Source organism: Homo sapiens, chromosome 11 (assembly GCF_000001405.40).
Source record: "Homo sapiens chromosome 11, GRCh38.p14 Primary Assembly".
Lineage (NCBI taxonomy): Eukaryota > Metazoa > Chordata > Mammalia > Primates > Hominidae > Homo > Homo sapiens.
In genome coordinates, this window is record NC_000011.10 from 56,416,013 (window position 1) to 56,438,492 (window position 22,480).

Sequence of the window (22,480 nt, forward strand, 5' to 3'; positions counted from 1 at the left end):
ACAGAAGAGGAAATAATCACAGTATATTGTAAAGCTCAAATTGTATTTTATATAATGGCTGCAAGTATCATAATCTCCTTGTAAAATTGAAAAAAAATAATAATTTTAAACCACTACTTTTTCTGAAATGTCAAAACAATAAAAATGTATCATATCACTTTTTTTAATCATATGTCATCATCTACAAGGGTGACTGAATAAATAGCAGGCACAAATAAATTACATAATAACATAGGGTACTTTCTAATTGAACAAATATGCAAGTACAATGAAGGTGTTTATTTTAAAAATTATTTCTTATAAAACATGTTCTTCCAATTATATTTTTTAAAAAATCTGATAATGACACATTTAAATCCAATTAACCTCATTCTTAACACCCACAGTGTTAACAAAAAATTCAGATAAACCTAAATTTGCTTTTAGAATTTTCATATTGCTAGTTATGTGACCTTCAATTTAGAGAGAAAACTTCACACACATCATATGTTTACTTGATTGTAGCAAGTAGGACTACTTGACTAATTAGCCTTGAAGACCTTAATGAATTTATTTTTTAATAGTTTTATGTTTTGGTTTGTTTGTTTGTTTGTTTTTAGAGAGAGAGAGAGAAGGTCTCGCTATGTTGCCCAGGCTGGTCTTGAACTCCTGGGCTTAAGCAATCCTCCCACCCTTGACTCCTAAAGTGCTGGTACTACAGGTGTGAGCCACTGTGCCAGGCCAAATAAATTCATTTCTAACTTTATATAACAAACATTTATATACCTAAGGCTTCCAAAACACTTATTATCACTGGATATTTTTCTAAGCATTTCATAAATATTAACCTGTACAATCCTTAAAAAAAGAGCAATGAGTTAGGTCCTATTATTTCCCAGACTTGGAGACAAAGCCACACAAAATTTAGCTCAATTTTCCAAGGTTGCAGAGCTAATATGAAGGAAATAGTGTTCAAACTCAATCTTGTTTCAGCATCCCAAACTCTAACAAAAACATGCTGCTGCCTTTGCTTTAAATACACCTATGAGTGTTTGCATATATGAGTGTGTCTCTGTTTGTATTTGAACGTGGTTTCAGTGGTCTGCCAAGACTGTGATGGCCTGAATTGAATGCTTTAATTCGTACTGATTTTTCATGATCTGCCTGGTTCTTGCAGAAAATGTCAAGGTCCATTAAAGTAACAGCTACATTTTCAGTTCATTGGGAAATAATTACAAGAAAAAGTTTGATTTATTTCCTGCTTGTTTAATAAAGTTTTCTTATTTTTAAAAATGTTAATATCTGTAAGTTTTCACAACCTTTATCCAAGGCTTTCTTTGAGGCATCTTTCACTTCTTTGTTCCTTAGACTATAGATTAGGGGGTTTAACATGGGGATCACCACTGTGTAAAATACAGAAGCCATCTTGTCTGTGTCCAAGGAGTGATTTGATTTGGGCTGTAGGTACATAAAGATCAGTGTGCCATAGAAAATAGTGACAGTCACCATATGGGAGCCACAGGTGGAAATGGCTTTGTGTTGCCCCTGAGTAGAGCGGATCCTTAGGATAGCGGCAATAATAAAGATGTAGGAGGTGAGGACAATGGAAGAGGAAGAGATCATATCAAAGCCAGCAAAGGCAAATATCAGAATTTCCTTCATGTGTGTGTCTGAGCAGGACAGAGCTAAGAAGGGGAGGTCATCACAATAGAAATGGTTAATTAAGTTTGGGCCACAGTAAGTCAGACGGAAAGTGATAACGGTGTGGAAGAGGGCAACCAGGAAGCTGTATATATATGGAACTGCCACCAGTTGAATGCAGACTCTTCTTGACATCAGTGTTGAATAATGCAGGGGACTACAGATGGCGACATAGCAATCGTAGGCCATGGAGGCTAGAAGGAAACACTCAGTGATCATGAAGGTGAGAAAACAACCCAGTTGGGTTGCACAAGCATGGAAAGGAATGGTGTTGCGTTCCACAACAAAATTCACCATCATCTTCGGTGTAATAGCAGAGGAGTAACAAAGGTCAACAAAGGCCAGGTGGCTGAGGAAATAGTACATAGGTGTGTGGAGTCGAGTATCAATCTTGATTAAAGTAATCAACCCAAGATTGCCCAGCACTGTGACCAGATAGATAACTAAAAACACCCCAAAGCACGGGGCCTGAAGCTCTGGCCGGTTGGTAATTCCTTTCAGAATGAATACAGTGACATAAATGATATTAACTTCAGCCATTTATCCTAACAGGTTTTGTAGATTTTGTCGCAGTTGAAAAATAAAAAAGATACTTCTCATGTTCCCTGTCAGTGTTGGGTAAAGGTGATGATTGTTGTCTTCTTGCCTTGAATCATATCATCATGTGGGCAAAAACATACATCTTACCTCTCTAATGACAGAGGCCAATCTTGCCTGAGGGAGGGGAGTCTTTTACTTGCAGAATAGTAAATAGACCACCTTAAGAAATATTTTGCTTTGTAATTTTAGAAAATAAGAGAAGATGTTGGTTAAAATTATATAGTATGAAACCGCTTGTGACAACTGACACTAATATTTCAATGTTTTTGCTGCCATTAAAAATCTTATATATTTTCCATGCATATATAACAGAACAAAAATATTGAATTTATAGACGTGACCACATTTATATTTCCTTATTTTTCGGTTTTGTGCGTGCTTCCATAAAATATGTCAAAAATAGATCAAAATAATTTTAGAGCTCCTATGAACTATTCAATTTGCTATATTCCTTCCCACATTTATATAGAATAAGTAATTTATGCTGTAGAAATGGAAAGAAATTTGATCAGAAATATGAGAAAGGAAACATTCAGTTGTAAAAAGTTTTATGGAAACATATACTGGTGGGTGGAGTTTTTGATGCATCTTTTAGGATAATTATAATTATTTGTATTTCTACCAGCCCTGAAAAAAAGAGGATTCATCTTGTTAAGCCCAATATTAGCCTATTTAAACTTTAATTTGGTCCTGGCTTTATTTTTCAAAAAATAGAATCATGAAATATTAACTAGAAAATGCTTTGAGAGATCATCATATCTAACCACTTTGTCTTTCATATTCCATTGATTAGTACTATTATTATTTTATCTATTGCAATTGAGTGATGTCCTTATCAGATATTCTGAGTGCATTACATGAATTAAGATAGTCTCTTGCTTACCCTATGAGGAAGGCTCTCACCCATAACTCCTTATAAACATTGGAAAAATCCGACTTTCTGGTGATGGTCACAGAGTATTAGTGTGACTATGTATAACTGACAGCAGAGCCCATATTTCTAATCATCCTTATGCTGCCCAAGTGTAGTGGTTTGTTCCTTAAGCTTTAATCGCCGGGATGGATGGAAGAACGAGGCTAAAGTGTCAAACTAAATGTTTAAAGCTTACAGAAGACAAACATGAAAACTGTAGTTTTCCAAAGATTGCTAAGTTTTCATATACTAGGTCAAAGTAAAATAGAAGACTCCTAAAACATATATATATATATATATATATATATATATATATATATACACACACACACACACACACACACAGATGCATAGACATATACATATATACATATATATTGCTATTCTCAGTAAATAACTGTTTCGTTCATGAATATTCAAAAGTGAGAATTATCTGACTTACATATGGGACTTGAATATGCTCAATTTTTTTTCACAAAGGATTTTATGTCAATTCGAGCTGTGAAGTTATAATTTGAACCCTAATTGAGGATAATTATAAGGCTATCCCACAATGTAAAAGTAAATAGACCACCTTCACTGAAAAATAGTGTCAGGGAAAGAGGTTTATCTACCATTTATTTCACTTTATTTTTTACTTAATGAAGTCCATCTATATGTTAGCACTTCTTGTGTTATTGCTTTTATATAACTTCAAGATTTGTGGTGGTTCCAAGGTACATGTCACACCAAATGAGAAAAAGCCACATGAGAAAATAGATGTATCAGTAAGAACGTTAACTATGGTGGACACGTGCTATTAGGTAACATGGAATATTTAAGTTTAAGTAGATACATACAGCACATTATGGTAGAAAAACAAAGTCCACAGCGAAGTTGGATATTAAACTGGAGTTTACATTCCAAATTCAATAAACTTAAAAATCACGTAGAAATAAAATTACTTATAAAAATCTGTTACAGTGCTCATAAAAATACAGCATTTATGATTTTGTATCTACCTTACAACTCTGTACATTATTTTATTAATTCCTCTAAGTTTTTAAAAGCAGTTTTTCTTCATAGCCTCCAATTCATTTGTCTGGGTTTTTTTGAATTAATCACCATCCCAAAGTCTCACCACCCATTTGGTCATTTTCATATCTTTACCTATTTTTAGGGGAAATCTAAAATCAATTCCATATTTCAAACCAAGAGTTATTTCATGAGCACTAATGTTTCTTCCTTCACTTCATCTTCCTAAAGCAAGTTTTGCCTTAAACTTTACTGCATATTGGAATCATCTAGAGCTCTTAACATGACAATACTGGGGCATCCAATACCATTTATTCAGAACATCTTGGAGGCACCGAGGCCCAAGTGATTCTAATGTACAACCATGTTTGAGAATCAGTAATCTAAAGAGCAAATTTGATTTTTGGAATGGCAACCAGAGTTCAGATATATTTTCAAAATTTTCAAAATATCTAAAATTTTTTGGAAATATTTTCAAAATTTCTTTTTGGGATTTGTTTGCCTAACCTGTGAATTAGTTTGAGTACAACACTCCACCATGTCAGTGAAATCCCAACTGCACAAAAATAGTCTTAAGAAAGTTAATCTTCAGTTCCTCTATTTCTATCTTTCCATTTTTCTGAAAATGATTTGATTGAGAAAGTACCTGTGCTCTTGGTTCTCCTTGGTTTTCTATTTTCAAAATCATTCATTTTCCCATGTTATAAACAAAAGGCATACTTTTCATCCATCTGGAATCTTATGATCTCTTGCCCCCAGGTGTAAAAAATATCCTGGATTCTAAAAGACTTCAGCATTTGGATAATCCTTCTTATCAAGACACCATTAATATGACTCCCATCTCATTAATAAGACAATTTTCAACAAGTTAAATTTATATTTAATCATCACTCATCAAAATTAGAAAAATATAGGTTATGTTAATTATTTTATATTAAGATACATTTAATTTTAGGCATTCATTTAAATCTATATTTAATTTTAAATGCCAATATTTACAGCATTGAAAAATTACATCTTAGTACCTTTTTAAACTATTGGACGAAAATTTTAGATATTCACTTAACCATGCATGTTGAAGAAAATATTGGTTTTTCTAATTATTTTGGTGAGTACCAAAATTAATTAGCAATTGTCTTTTTTAGGCCTTTCTGATAGTTGGCTAGTTCTTTAAAATTAAGCAGTTTTATTTATTTTGCTATCTTCAAATCTCCGTAGGTTATATTTGCCCATCTAGATTCTCAAAACTCAGTTGCAACATGAATTATATCTCTCTCTGAAACACTAATTCTTGAAGGGCTTGCCTTGCTTCTTAAGAATTAGAGACATATATCTCAGGTTTTAAACACTTTGGCATCTAATACAATGGCAATGCTTTGCATAGAAAAATATATTCAATAACGGAAAAGCAAAAGATTAATGGAGACCTCCTCTTGCCTTTCCACTGCCCTATCAATCAAAACATCAAGACATTTTCTGATTTACTCACTGCCTAGTGCTATTCATGTTCTACCTTGTTCTTTATCAGGGTGTTCAGGGCTTTTTCAGGCCAAGCATTCTTCATTCCAGGACTGCAACAAGCTTGATTTCTTCACCAGATCTTAGCAACAGGCTGCAGGGGCACCCTGTGCGCCACCAGTGTGCTATAGGTGTTCAGACCTGAGGACATCTTGAACCATTGGTGTTCCCTCTATGTAACTTAACGCATGCAAAAATGGCATGATATGGCATGGAAAAAGGTTGGGAAGCCCTGGTTTGATTTGGATTACACTGGAGCCCTGGTTAAAGCTGAATACTTCACCTGAGAAGCAATATTCGGTAAATGATATGCCAATAGGTTTCTACTTTATTGTGTTATAGGATTCAAAAATGTATAGTGAGTATTCATTCTTATTTAGAAGGGAAAATTTTACCTTATGTTCAGTGTTTGCCAAGGCTAAGGATGGATTATTAAAAATCTCATTTCCAGAACTTAAGGAGGGCCATTCTTGGTAAATGAATTTCCTAAGAATTTTAGTCAGAAAATCACATCCGCATACATCTCTCTCCTCCATCGTCCATATAGTAACAACTCTTATTTTGTGGGAACTATTGCAGAAAGCATGGTAAATTCTAAGAGGTTCTCTGCTCGACTTATCATGTCATCATTTAAGAAGAGAGAGAGAGGGAGAGAGAGAGCGTGTTTGTGTGTGTGTATGTTTGTAAGGAGGAGAGAGAGAGATAGCACTGAGGATTAACGAAGTATTCTTATTGTTATTATTATTATTATTTTATTTTGTTGGAGACGGAGTTTCGCTCTTGTTGCCCAGGCTGAAGTGTAATTGCGCGATCTTGGCTCACTGCAAACTCCGCCCCTCGGGTTCAAGAGATTCTCCTGCCTCAGCAGTGAAGTATTATTTCAAATACAAATTTAAAATACAGCAATGAAGTATTATTTTAAATACGAATAGATATCCTTTAGACAGTTCTGGAAAAGCAGACAGTGTGAAGGTATGAAATACAGTTAGGATGCAGTCTGAATCCATTTAACATTAAAGCTTACCGAAGAGAGAGGCTTCTAATGAGGATCTGAGGCATGGGTGGAGGGATGCCTCTTGGCTCCATATAAAGACTCACTTACCTGCTTAGCAGTGATCTTGACTCCTAATGAGCTCATTTAGAAGTTATTCAGATGATTTATTAGTTCCTAGGTCCCATTGGATCTAAACTTGAACCTCTAGAGGTATCTGAAAGCTTGATGTTTCCTCCTATGTTTCTCTCAATGTGAGATGAGCTGGACAAATTACATTGAAAAAAATTTTTAATCCTTCAAACTACCTGTATTCCTGAGACAGTCATACTTCAAAAATACTTATATACATATCCATGAGGGCAAATGTGTGATCTACTACTGGAAATGATATAATAAACCATAACACCCAGTTCATTTTTATTAAGAATCAAGTTTTGTGAAACAATAAGATGAACACTTAAATCCTGAGCAACTTACTTATGAGATCTTGGGAAAAGGTCTATGACTTTTTGAGCCTCAATCTCCTCAATTTTAAAATGAAGTAAAATTATACCTTCTCTATAATGTCTTTGAGAGTACTGAATGAGTTAATGTATGTGAAAAGTTCGGTAAACTGTCGGGTAGGCAGTAAATGTTCAAAGATATCTGTTTTAATAAGCAAGACAGAATCAGAACCACAAATAAAACAAAGATACTCCAAAAGCTGACAAGAAAACCAAAACCGTTACTACCAGTTTCAATCTCTATCTAGGTGGAAAATTTATTAAATCTTTCTGGTGTACATTATGCTGTCTTCAATGAAAATGATTTCTACATACTCCTCAAAATTCATTTCCTCATGTATCTGTCTCTCTCCCACCACCCATGTATATGCATACAGACACATATATGACTCATCATTCTAAGTTCTACATCTCATCTCATTATGTTTTCTTACTGTTCATACCTTTTTTCTTTTTGCCACTGAATCTATCTTTTCTGATTGATTTGTCTCTCTACATCTTCTAAAACCATCTTTCAATATAAAGGATTATACCCTTATTTTTAAATTTTATATCACTTTAGAACATTGGAAGACATTGATTTTGTAGTACATTAAGAACTTCTAGCCGGGCGCGGTGGCTCACGCCTGTAATCCCAGCACTTTGGGAGGCCGAGGCGGGCGGATCACGAGGTCAGGAGATCGAGACCATCCTGGTTAACGTGGTGAAATCTCGTCTCTACTAAAAAATACAAAAAATTAGCCAGGCGCGGTGGCGGGCGCCTGTAGTCCCAGCTATTTGGGAGGCTGAGGCAGGAGAATGGCGTGAACCCGGGAGGCAGAGCTTGCAGTGAGCCGAGATGGCGCCACTGCACTCCAGCCTGGGTGACAGAGCGAGAATCCATCTCAAAAAAAAAAAAAAAGAACTTCTTTCTACCGTAAAGACACATGCACACATATGTTCATTGCAGCACTATACACAATCGCAGAGACATAGAATCAACCTAAGTGTCCATCAGTGGTAGACTGAATAAAGGAAATGTGAGACATATAAAAGATGGATGGATGAAGCTGGAGGCCATTATCCTTGGCAAACTAACACGGGGACAAAAAACCAAATACAACCTTTTCTCACTTGTAAGTGGGAGCTGAATGATGAGAATACAGGGACACATGGAGGCAAACAACAGACCCTGGGACCTCCTTGAAGGTGGAGGGTTGGGAGGAGGGAGAGGATCAGAAAAATTATCTGTTGGGTACTAGGATTAGTACCTGGGTGACAAAATAATTTGTACAACAAATCACTGTGACACAAGTTTACCTATATGACAAGCCTGAACATGTACCCATAAACCTAAAAATTAAAAGAAAAAAAAGAAGAAAGAAAAAAAAAGTATACCTGAACAAAAGAAGTCCTCATTTCATGCTTTTTCTAAATCAATATTGAAAAATATATTATTTGTTATTAATGGTGAAGTTCAGCTTCTTCTCAAATTACAAACTAAGAAACTATTATATATGAATTAGGTATGTGGATGTAAAACACAACCTGTAGCACTAGTCAGAATTCTCAAAAAAGTTGTTTATTGTTTCCAATTTTTCATAATCCTTTGCTCTTTCAAATCCAGCTTCCCACTTATCACTGAGACCAATCCTTTCTAGGTTAACCTACTGTCTCACTATGGATATATACAATGGAAAATTGTCCATTCTTAGCTGAATTTCTTCTGAAATTTGGAAATGTTGTACAATGTCTCACTTGTCTTGTGTGATGCCACCACATTTTCTTTGTTTTTCTCTTACCTCACTAATTGCAGATTTGGCATCCTCAGTTCAGCTGTTAGTTTTTCCCATTCCTCATTTTTGTAGACTGTTTTATTATACCCACAACTTCAATTATCAATGATTCTTACATTTGTTTCTCTATCTTACCACTTCCTGTAGCTTCAGAGCTCTATATCCAAATACCTAGTATTGAGTTTAAGTTGCATGGCTCAAAGGCAACTAAAATTCTACATTCCCAAGGCCAAGTTCCCAATATCTTGACCTCAAATTTAGTCGTTGTCCTGTGTGCTTTATCCCTATTGTCTATCCTACTAGGCAAGTCATACGCTAGTATTTATCCTTCACTTCTTTGTCTTCCTTACTTCCCCCATTTTATGTCTAATTTTTTACCTCTTAGATGTTCACCTTATTCATGCTTTTCCTTCCCTCTCCGTTGCCATCCTCCAATCCCAACTAACATCATCTTTTCTAAAATGGCTAAAATATCATTTTAATTAGTCTCTAATAAATTTATTGAAACATAAACCCCATTGAATAATCATATTGATTTAAGAAGTTTTAATGACTTCCAAATATTGTTAGAATAAAGATGAAATTTTATGCAATCGTATTCAGGTTCCTGCATGATCTAAGACTTTCTTCTCCAGCTCTACCTTGCTCTCCCTCAAATTCACTTTTGTTCTAGCCACAGTAGCTTTTCTCATTTCTTCTGATGTTGCAAGTTTCTTGCTGCTTCAAGATTCAGAATATTGTTTTCTTTCTCCTTAAATGTTGTCCCTACTCTCACCCCTTTTGCCAATCCTTTGGTATTCAAACTAAGCATCATTTACCAGGGAAACTTTTGCTGAAAACTGAACTATTTTGGGTTTCTCTTCCAATTCTCTCAGCATCATGCATCTCTTCTTGGAAGGATTAATCACAGGTCGTAATTTTATGCTCCTTTGTGACCATTTATTTTAAGTCTCTCTCAGTCAATTGTAAGATCTGTGAGGTCAGGGACCATTTCCAATTTGCTCACCACTGTATTCCTGCATCCTAGCACAGGTCTTACTATAAAAAATGAAAATAAATATTTTAAAATTGACTTATCTATCAGTCAATTTTAAAAGTAGTTTGTTCTGTACAATATAAGCACACAAAAACACAACTGAAATCAGATGAGAGGAAAAGTGTGTTTTAAACCTTGCTTTTAATTTCTTAATGTAGGTCTTACAAGTAATTATTTGCATCATTCTCTATCTGGCCTTCTAAGATCATCTAATTTAACATGGTCATTTAAACAGATGGGGAAACCAAGAATCCTCGAGCTCTCACAATTATCTCTCTTAATTTCATCTATGAGTGAAGAATAGGACACCACAGTCTTTCGTAGTAATAATATTCACTCTGGTAATAATATTCACTGTAAATAAGACTATAAACTCATTTATAGTCACTCATATTGTGCCAAGCAGTAGTCTAAGAGGTCCATATATTAGCATATTTAGTCCTGGCAACACTATAAGTAGTATTATCATCCCTATTTACAAAGGTGAAAACTGAAGTCTAGGAAGGTCAGGCACTTTGCTCAAGGCCACACAGCAGCGAACTGGGACTTTGACTAACTCCAGAAACATAACTACTAATTTACACTTTTCTTTCTTGCTCTTCTCTAAGCATGAAGTTACTGATTTCCATGGACTACATCTCTAAGGAATACTTGATGGCTGGATTCAATAGGTTGCAGCCAATTGGAACCTGTAACAGGAGATCAGATGGGATGAGGAGAGAGAGGCCAGAATACATTAGCCCTGCTCTCTCTCTGCTCTTGAACTATGGCTGTCACAGTTCTAAAGTGATGCCTGGCAGTAGAGGCATCCCTGTCCTCATTTCCTTTCAGGCAACCTCTCACTCACACCCTACCTATCATTGGGTTCTCGATTCCCATTGAGTCCCTTCAGCCACTGAGGTGCTAATAGTTTCATGGTTAGATCCCAGGTACTCAGTATCCCATGTTTGTTTATTTCTCTTTATTTGAATTATTGTGGGTTGTTTCTTCACAAGAATCTGACCAATAATTCTCTAATTTCCTTGCAATTTATCTAACATTTTTCTTGATAATTAAATGCTTTGGGAATTTTTTTAGAAATAATATCACCTCTATGTATTTAGGTGTGGGTGGGTGCATTCTAAGACCTTTGAGAAAAATTTAAGTTGGGTAATTGTTATAGGGGGATTTCTATAAAAATTCTTCTAATTTTATATTTGTTTGAAAATGTCCATAAAAAGTTTTTAATAGTTTCTTATATAATAAGTAGTTTATATAGTAAAAACATAAAAAGATTACAATTTTTAAAATAGTTGTATTAGTTTGGGGTTTGAAATATCAGTACCTCTCTGTTAAAAGTATTATCATAGAGGCTGACAAATCTACACAAAGGAAAAGTAAGACAGATTTGTTAAAGAAAAAATAAAAATATGTTTTACAAGTTATGTGATCAGTAAAATCTAAGGAAATCAACAAATCAGAATGTTGAAATTTTAATAAAAATGAAACCCCTATGTATTGCAGACAAAAATTTTAAAAATACAATGGGAAAAAAATACTTAGAGTGGGATCTGTTAGGTAAAGTGTATGTTGAATTAAACATCAAAAATATTCAAATAAAAAAAGGTCCTAAAGAAATAAAATGATTTGGCTTGAAAATTTAATTAAAATGATAATATTTTATTATTATAAGGGTTTTTTTGAATGCCTTTCAAATGGGTCCACTATTTGCTAAAATAAATAAATAAATAAGAATAATAAACTGAGTCACCATAATATATAAGACACTGGAGGTAAAGAAAGGGATAACTCGGTCAGAATTCCTGTCCTCAGATAACTCCTAGCCTAATAAGGGAAACAGATGTGGAAAGAATTATAACACAGTATGAAAATACAACAGTGACACAAGAAGACACTGATAGTACACTGAGAAATGGTTAATTAACTTTTTTTTTCTATTGGAGATCAGGTAAGGAGAAGAGTGAGTGCATATGGTAAATTTCTTCTAAGAAGTTAACTTCTGAGCTTGTACTAGAAGGACAAGAAAATGTTAGGCTTTAAAACCTGACACTGCATGTTCTCACTCATAGATGGGAATTGAACAATGAGAACACTTGGACACAGGAAGGGGAACATCACACACCGGGGCATGTTGTGGGGTGGGGGGAGGGGAGGAGGGATAGCATTAGGAGATATACCTAATATAAATGATGAGTTAATGAGTGCAGAACACCAACATGGCACATGTTTACATACGTAACAAACCTGCACGTTGTGCACATGTACCCTAGAACTTAAAGTGTAATAAAAAAAAAAAAGTATTTCAGTGACACAGCAAGTGCAAAGACAAGAAATGCAGCCACAGCCAATGAAGGAGAAGTTTTGTGGTAGGCAAGGAGGAAAATATTAGGGAAAGAAGTTACAAAGAAAGGAGTATGGCAACATAAATCCTCATAAGTCATACCTCTGAGTGTAGTCTAAGTCCCATAGCAGACAGAAGCTGTATAATGCTATATAGTAGGTTGGTGCAAATGTAATTGCAGTTTTTGCATTGTTGAAATTTGTTGTTTGATGTTGGAATGCATTCTTAAATAAATGTGATTATGTTATACATCATTTTAATGCGCATTTCTTGCTTTATTTTTTTTTGGCTAATGACTTATTACTTGATGTTTATTTTATATTTATTTTAAACTATGGAAATGTTGTTAGACAAAAAAACACATTTGAGCAATTTTCTTATTCGAGTTCAAAATGGGTCATAAAGCAGCAGAGACAACTCACAACATCAACAACACATTTGGCCCAGGAACTGCTAACGAATGTACAGTGCAAAAGTTTCAAAAACTTTTGCAAAGGAGACAAGAGACTTGAAGATGAGGAGTATAGTGGCCAACCATCGGAAGTTGACAATGACCAATTGAGAGCAATCATCGATGCTCATCCTCTTACAACCTCATGAGAAGTTGCCAAAGAACTCAGCATCGACCATTCTACGGTCCTTCAGCATTTGAAGAAAATTGGAAGGTGAAAAAGCTCAACAAGTGGGGGCCTCGTGAGCTGAGCAAAAATTTTTTTAAAATCATCATTTTGAAGTGTCATCTTCCCATTCCACACAACGAACCATTTCTCAATCGGATTGTGACGTGCGATTAAAAGTGGATATGGCAACTGGTGACAACCAGCTCAGTGGCTGGACTGAGAAGAAGCTCCACAGCACTTCCCAAAGCCAAACTTGCACCAAAAAAAGGTCATGGTCACTGTTTGGTGGTCTGCTGCCAGTCTGATCCACCTCAGCTTTCTGAATCCTGGAGAAACCATTACAGCTGAGAAGTATGCGCAGCAAATCAATGGGATGCACCAAAAACTGCAACACCTGCAGCCGGCATTGGTCAACAGAAAGCGCCCAACTCTTGTCCACAACAATGCTAGACTGCACATCACATAACCAACGCTTCAAAAGTTGAACGAATTGGACTATGAAGTTTTGCCTCATCGGCCATATTCACCTGACCTCTTGCCAATTGACTACCACTTCAAGAATCTCGACAACTTTTTGCAGGGAAAACGCTTCCACAACCAGCAGGATGCAGAAAATGCTTTCTAAGAGTTCGTCAAATCCCAAAGCACGGATTTTTACACTACAGGAATAAGCAAATTTATGTCTCATTGGCAAAAATGTGTTGATTATAGTTGTTTCTAGTTTGATTAATAAAGATTTGTTTGAGCCTAGTTATAATGATTTAAAATTCATGGTGCAAAACTGCAATTACTTTTGCACCAACCAGATATATAAGATTGATATAATCAGAAGTAGCATTTTCAAAAAGTCCTTCAATGAAATAGGGGCTTAACACAATGAAATACAACTTAGTAACTTTCAAAGAGGCTAAAATGTGGGAAAATTAAGAAAAACAGAATAAAATTCAAAATTAAAAAAAAATTACAGGTTGTGTGTATGAAACTTAAAAAAAGTGAAAATTTTGATATTTATGTATTTAGTTTACTATTCCCTGGATTGTGTTACTGGGATTCATAGTTAGAAGACTGATAGTCTTAGTTGAGGAATTTAATAATATATGCATAAGTGTGCGCATGTATTAAAGAAAAAAACAATATCTAATGACACTTGTTAAACAACAGTAAGGAAGAAATTATCCAGGACCACTGGCAGAGATACAGGGATGACTGCAATGGGGTCTTGCAGCAGGGGAGAGAGTTTGAGCTCAGCTCTGAGTAGGGCATGGGCAAGTAGAAATGTATAGCCAGGGGGCAGAGTGGAGGTCAGTGAGTGGAAAATGACTAAGAGAAAACATAATTGTTAAAGAAGCTTCTGGCTAAACCAACCTTACAGGATTCTTGCAGAAGACAGGCCAGGATGATCAGACATTACGTAGAGAATGGTGGAAGATAACGAACCTGATCAGATATTGAAAGAAATCAGATATCATGGGTGGGGGGATTCTTGTTAAACTGACTTAGCGGGGTTATTTGCTAAAATTGAATTTTACAAGCAGGTACATAGATGGGCTTAGGAGAAGGCTCAGGAGCCACACAAAGGTTTGACCAGGCAAAGAATTATTGTCATGTGCATGTATGTATGTAGGTATGTATGTATATATCTGTCTGTCTCTTATCTATATGTCTAATACAATGTCTATCCTATTATTACAAATAACATGAGAATGGCAAATTTGTTACAGTTTACTGAGACACAATCATAATGCATGCTTTAGTATCTTAGAATAAATTTTGAAAAAATAAAATAGAAAGGGAGGGAATAAGCACAATAGTAGCCAAAAATATCTAATCTATATTCACATCTGGATTCTCGCTAACACTTTTATCAGCTGTAGCTTAAGGCAAAGTATTTAAATTATCTGAGCCTCTTTTCTTACTCAAAATGTGGACTCATTTTACCTATATCTTCATGTTTTTATGAAGATTAATGATATAATATATATAAATATTTTAGCACCTTGTGTAGGACACAATAAGCATTGACTAAATGTTAAACACTGTCATCATCATTAATGTTATTTTATTCACAATCCATATATCATTAATTTCTATTTTGCAGAGTAATTTAATATTCACTATAACTGTACATTTTAAAATAGTCCTCTGCTGTAAGTAGTATTTTCATTTCTTAATTGAGGCTCTGAGTTTATATCTTTCCCAAGAGCGCATGGGTAAATAGGAGAAGACCCTGGGTACAAACCTAGGTTTGGCTCCAAATCCTCTTCTTTTCCCACTAAAATACCTTATCTCCCAAAGGAAGGTGCTTCGAAGTAGAGGAAATGACCATCCCTGAGGAAGAAGATAATTATCTCAACACTTTCAAATTAAACTGCATATTCATTAATCTTAATGAAAAAGTTGAAACTTTGTGTTTGTTGAGATTGGTTCCAGTTAATATGTCCCCATGAAAAAGCTGAGAAACCAATCATTTTAATAAGGCCCTTGGAAACTGATTAGTAAGTAAATCAAATTTTTATAGCAATTACGGTAAGGAGTTGTGTCTGCAATGAAGAATTTTGTAATGAGACCCAGAGAGACAGTTTCATCATCAATGTGTAAGCAAACTCTGACTTCATTTCTCTTTACCTAATGATCAGCAATTATTTAATTAAAATCAACAGAGGAAGAATAGCAGTTACATAAAATGGCATTTTTCTTAATTTTTCCAGATACTTTGACTTTTTGAAGTCTGGCTAGAAATAGAATTGCTAAACTAATTCCTTTTACACTGGTGCTCTTAAATTCTTTGGTGAGCCAGTGTATATTAATCTGTATAAAGTAATTTGGGAATATAATCACCAATTAATGTTTTTTACATTCAATGGCAAACTACAACTTTTATCACAATAAAAATTTTTGACATGTTCTATGGTAAGAATGCCCTATTAGAATGCATTAAAGGAAACTAAGGGCTGTTTCATTCTTTCTTGAACAAGAAATACAAGACAGACAACCAGTTAAAGGCCTACTCACATGTAGATAGGATATAAATATCAAATGTGGAGACACACATGCTAATAATATAACATAGCACATGCCACATCTGCACAGTTTCAATGGGGTTGATGATTTATGAGCTTCAACAGTTGGGCAGATCATTGGTTACTGCATATTTTGAGAGTATACATTATAAACTGAACTAAGATAAAATGCTTATAACTATGGTCTAATTATTTTCTAGAAATATAACAGGCCACAAATATCTTATTGCATAACAAATATTGTACTAAAACATATCAAAATAAATCACTCTAGTTAAAACTACTAAAATAAATGTTCTTGAAGGAAAATCTTAATTTTGCAGTTTAGAACATCAGGGCCATAATTGTTTCTGAATGTGTTTACTTACAAATGAAGGTATATGCAGAGTGTTATTCATGCACAGTGCTATACCACTTTGTAATTAAATAAGAAAGACTGTAACAAGGTGCATTAGATATTAAGTTCCAAAAATTGAGAAAAGAAAAAAAAAGTCTGAGATAAGCTGAGTTTCAAATTAGAAATAAAATAAAACATTAATATGGAAATCTGTATAACAAATGGTTAAAAGATTCATGTGGTTCATATGGGGGAGGTGGTGAGAAAACTATATTCTCTGTTTCAAACTTACACAACTTGTGTGATATTGAGCACCTAGTCTTCCTTCTACTGACCTTATTTTATTCACATGTAAATAAAGAGCAGAAGAAAATATATATTATTAATATTAAAACCTGAAATCAAGGGTTATTATAAAGGGTAAGTTGACATAATTTGTGAAAAGTTATTAGAACAGTTTCAATGTATTAGCCAAGCACACTGCCGATATATTAGCAATGGTCCACACTAGCAAACATGATTATATTTTCAACAAAAATGCTCATGTATTAGCAGCAGAAAGGATATTGTCAGAGAGAAAAGATAGACATTAACAATACTATTGACACAGGATTTTTCTAGGCCACTTTGCCATCCAGGGACCTCCACAGCCAGCAATGCCCCCACATGTGGGCCTCACTCAGCCCTGGGCCTGCTGCTGGAGGTACCCCACCAACTTGGCCCACCTGTGCTATAGCTTGTACCCATGTTCAGTGGTTCCCAAGCTCTTGTCCTATGTCCAGGAAGAATGAGGATATGCTGAAAATTGAAGAGTGAGGATGAGTGAAGAATTTTTTTGAGAGGCAGAATGGCTCTCACCAGAGAGTGGACATGGGTGTCAGGGGGTGGTCCTCCACCCCTGAGTTGGGTGGTTTCTCCAGTGTGGCTGGGTCCAAGGCTTTTATGGGCTCAGAATAGGGGAGAGTGTGCTGATTGGTTTGTGAGTATGAAAAAAAGTTAAAACAAAGGCATGACTCAAAGTTGAGCCTGACAGTGTAAGAAAACAAATAGGGAAGGGTAGGCATTTGTAAAATAGGTGATGGGCAAAGATGAATCAGAGAAAACCTTGCCAGATGGGAAGACAGTTTCTTAATCTGGTTCATGGATTTGACTTGTAGCTTGGCTTTCAGGCTGCCTTTGGCATGGAGGTGGCCTTTCACTGAGAACCCTCTCCATCTGCTTAGGCATTTGTCTGCCTCCTGCTGCTATCACTGATATAATTAAATGGTTAAAAAAATTAAATTAATTTTTAAGACACTATATCTATTTGCTTGGTATTTTTAAATGTAAAGATTATTCTAATTGCTAATGAGTTTTCATTGTTGAACTTAGTGGTGTGATTCAAAAAATTAATGAGACGAAAGAAATGCATTATTCCCCTAATACATTTTTTTAGAAAGTGTTTAATAAAAATTAATTCCTCATCATAAATAAAGCTCCAAGGGAACAGAAATAAGAAAAATATTAACATAATAATAAGGATGATCTGTCACAAATTAGTAGTCACTATCATATTTAATGGAGAAAAAGTAGAAATGTCTTAATGAAAATCAGGAAAGAGAGAGATTCCTTTTACCTCCATTAATTTTCTTTTAAAATTATAGCCTAAGAATTTTTGTGAGGGTGGTAGGCAGTAGGAAAAATAGAGACTAGGAAGTAAGAAGCCACATGCAATAAAGAAAGAAACCAAATGCAATAAAGATAAGAAGACAAATAAAAGAAATAATTATTAGCAAAAAGGAGACAGGTATTCTATTATTTCTGGGCAATATAGAAAAGCCAATACAATGTATATAAATTAACAAAGTTTTATTAATGTGGCCAGTTACAAATATATATATATATATATACACACACACACACACACACATACACATGCATATATACATACAACTATACATGTAATAGCTTAATCTTGCATCATTGTCAATAAAAAATACTTCTGACTATACTAAGGAGAAAATGAGCAGAATATTGTTATAATAAAAAATGATAGGACTAACACAAAGACACTTTAAAAGGTTTACTGTGGGACATACAATAAAGAAGCCCAGTACATTTCATGAAGGAACATACCTAATATCATAAATATTTCAATTCTACCTTCTAGTTAATTTATAAATGTGGTACAATTATAATAACAAAATGGATTTTCTTTTAGAAAATAACAGAGATTCTAAAATTATGTGTGTATATACATATACACATACACATATATGCGGGGGGTATATATACACAGATATTTATTTAGAAAAATATAATGAATGATCTTGACTATAATTTTTTGAAAAAACAGAATATTAGGTGAGAAAATACACTGCCACTTAGTAAGTCATTTTCAATCTATAATAATCTTTAAACTGTGATGGAAGAGTTGGGAAAGAGTCGCTCTGTTAATGGCACAATACAGAAATCAGAGAAGCAAACCAGGTTTGTAGGAGTATTTCAAATAATTTTATTATTGCTTTGTGAGTTCCTACTCATAATCATACCTCAACAGAATGATACTGACCTCTATTTTAGACCAGGCCCTTCTGTTACACATTCTCCTAGTACAACACAATTTTTTTTTCATAATTGATTATAGTTTGGGAAAATTTATTTCACTGTGCATTAATATCCCTTCCCCATCAAAATATGTGACATATGAGCATGGGTCTTCTCTGTATTTACTTGCCGTTGTGTCTCAAGCATATAATATAGTGTTTGACACATAGTAGGTACTCACTATTTTAAATAAACAGAAAAAGATGTCTTAAACACCAAATGAGGCTCTGATCATCAACCAATTTTATGGAGAATAAATAAAGTTAAAATGTGGAATCCTTGATTTATTCCCCATAGTAAAATAAATTATTGATTAATGAGTTATTTATAGTTATTATAAAAATAATTATGACTAATTAAAGAGTTAATTATACTTTTAAAAGACATAAAATTGCCCCAGATTAACATTGATACAATGTTAGCATGGAGAAACTCAAGCATAGCCAAGAGGAAGAAAAAGAGGAAGGAAGGAAGGAAGGAAGGAAGAAAGGAGGAAGGAAGGGAGGGAGGGAAAGATAGGAGGGAGAGAAGAAAGGAAAGAGGGGAAAGAGAGAGAAAGAAGAGTTAAAAGAGGGGAGAGAACAAAGAACTTAATGGGTATATTTGCATTCATTTAAGCTTCTCTATTTTGAAACTCAACAACAAAAATTTATGCACAGGAAACAGTGAGGAGAAGATTTCAGTAAATGAAAACATATTCCGATATTTTAAAATAACATAGTATTATAAAGCAGTAAATAAATCTGAAAAACAATGTGAAAATACATAGAAATCATGAACAATCTCAAATAGAAAAAAGTGAATAAAAAACATGAAATCAATTTCTATTAATGATCAAACATATACACATAAAAGAAGAAACAGCATTTTTAAGTAATCAACTTGGCAAATTTATAATGCTTAATAACAGTGCAGGAAAAATTGGGCATTCTTACAGCAGTTCTGTGAGTGAAATTGTCAAAGCTTTCTAAGAGATTCTTTCATTTGAGCAATTTCATAGTGAGTCCCTAGTTTGTGTCAGACACTACGGAAAACAGTGAAAAGGAGACCAAAATGTTTGCAGACACAGTAAATATCAAAAAGAGGCCAGGCACGGTGGAACATGCCTGTAATTCCAGCACTTTGGGAGACGGAAGAGGGCAGATCACCTGAGGTCAGGAGTTTGAGACTAGCCTAGCCAACTTGGCGAAACCCCATCTCTACTAAAAATACAAAAATTAGCTGGGTGTGGTGGTGTATGCCTGTAAATCCAGCTACTCAGGAGGCTGAGGTAGGAGAGTGACCTGAACCTGGGAGGCAGAGGTTGCAGTGAGCCGAGATTGCGCCACTGCACTCCATCCTGGGAGACAGACCAAGACTCCATCTAAAAAAATAAAATAAAATATCAAAAGGACATCAAATAATCTAACAATTTTAAAATATTATATAGTGATAAATGTTATGAGAAAAAAGGTATATGGGAAGGAATACAGTGGTAGTACTATTATAATGAATCCTTATACAGCAGGATTCTAGATCTTCACACAGTTTAACCCAGTCTTCAAAGCAGCACTTGAGGCATTTACTATTACTGTTACTCTTTTAAAGATGATGAAAATAAGACACAGAGATGTTATGTGACCAAGTTCTTATAGAAGGTAATGGCAGAGCCAGATTTACAGCCAGATAGTCCACCTCCAGGGCTCTCACACTTTATAACCATGGAAGTGTCAGTAAGTGAGAGAAAGCATAGCAATATCTGAGAAAGACTTATTCCAGGAAGGGAAAGCAAGTACAAATACTCACGGCTGCCCTGGCCCTGGAGTGTTTGAGGTCAGAGTGGATAGAAGAATGGTGATTTCAAGGTAGCACTAAGAGATCAAGAATCAGAAAGTTAACAGGGGCCAGATCATGCCAGATTTTACGGGCTGTCATAAGGACTTTGAATTTTTGGGTGAAACAGGGCAACCATTGCAGAATTTCTGTGCGGAGGCAATTCTTTTTAAAAGGATTATTATGGCTACAGTGTTAAAACAAAAACAAAAAAACAAAAAAAACAAAAACAGTCGACTGTAGGCGGAAAGCATAGAAACTACAAACCTACTTGGAAAAATATTTGTATTACAAAAAAATGGTAAGCAAGACCACAGAATATGAGTGCAGTTGGTAAATGTAGTTGTACGCTGGAGCCAGAATTCCTACCAGAGTGAATGTGAGATAGGAGTAACACGAGTCAAGCCTTACTCTAAGGATTTTGCCTGATGCAACCATGAAGTGTCCATGCACTGAGCTAGGAAAAGTTAAAAAGAAGCCGATTTGAGGTGGTTTACCAAGAGTTCAGTTTGGACAATAAATTTGAGATGTTTAATATGCTTCCAAGTAAAGGTGTCAAATAGGATGTTGAATATAGGAGTCTAGAATTCAGAGGAGTGTGCTGAGATGAGGAGGTAATTGGGAAATTTTACATGCACACACACACACATACACAGTCCTCACTTAATTTCAATGATAGGTTCTTGGAAACTGTGACTTGACACAAAACAAAGTATAATGAGATCAATTTTATCAGAAGCTAATTGAAGTAAACAAGAGTTAACTTCCTACGGCATATTTCTGGTAACAAAAACATCACCAAATTTCTTTTTTTTCTTCTTTTTCAAACTCATGTAAATTTGAGGACTGGCTTTTTCATTGCTGGAAAAAAATGGATCTAGGTAGAGATTGCATTGAATCTGTAGATCATTTTTATTGCCATCTTAATAACACTGTCTTCCAATCCATGAACATGGGAGGACTTTCCATTTATTTAGACCTTTATTATCTTTCAGCCATGTTTTATAATTTTCATTTCACAAATCTTTGATTTTCTTGGTTAAACATATTCCTAGGCATTTTATTCTTTTGGATATATTATAAATTGATTTTTTTAACTTTTATTTTAGGTTCAGGTGTACATGTGAAGGTTTGTTATATAAGTGAACTTGTGTCATGAGGGTTTGTTGTACAGATTAATTCATCTGTACGCAGGTATTAAGTCCAGTATCCAGTGGTTGTCTTTTCTGCTCCTCTCTCCCCTCTCACCCTCTGCCCTCAAGTGGACCCCAGTGTCTGTTGTACCCTTCTTTGTGTCCATGAGTTCTCATCATTTAGCTTCCACTTGTAAGTGAGAACATAGGGCATTTGGTTTTCGATTCCTGTGTTAGTTTGCTAAGGGTAATAGTCTCCAGCTCCATCTACAGTCTCACAAAAGACATGATCTCATTCTTTTTTATGGCTGCAGAGTTTTCCATGGTGTATATGTACCACATTGTCTTTATTCAATCTGTCATTGATAGGCATTTAGGTTGATTACATATCTTTGCTATTGTGAATAGCGCTGCAATGAGCATTCACATGCATATGTCTTTATGGTAGAATAATTTCTAAAATAAATACCAATACACTTCTAATTATCTCACAAAATAAATGTGAGATAGATAGATGATAGATAGATAGATAGATAGATAGATAGATAGATAGATAGATAGATTTAAGAAACATTAATAAAAGCAAGTAAGATAATTA

At 34.8% G+C, this 22,480-nt stretch overlaps 1 protein-coding gene across 1 annotated transcript; it reads right to left on the reverse strand.

Moving 5' to 3' along the window:
• Nucleotides 1–1,245: 1,245 nt before the first annotated feature.
• Nucleotides 1,246–2,220, reverse strand: OR8U3 (olfactory receptor family 8 subfamily U member 3). Its single transcript, NM_001004744.1, has one exon. It carries the CDS (start codon nt 2,218–2,220, stop codon nt 1,246–1,248), a length of 975 nt encoding a protein of 324 aa, NP_001004744.1.
• Between the last annotated feature and the right edge of the window lie 20,260 nt (nt 2,221–22,480).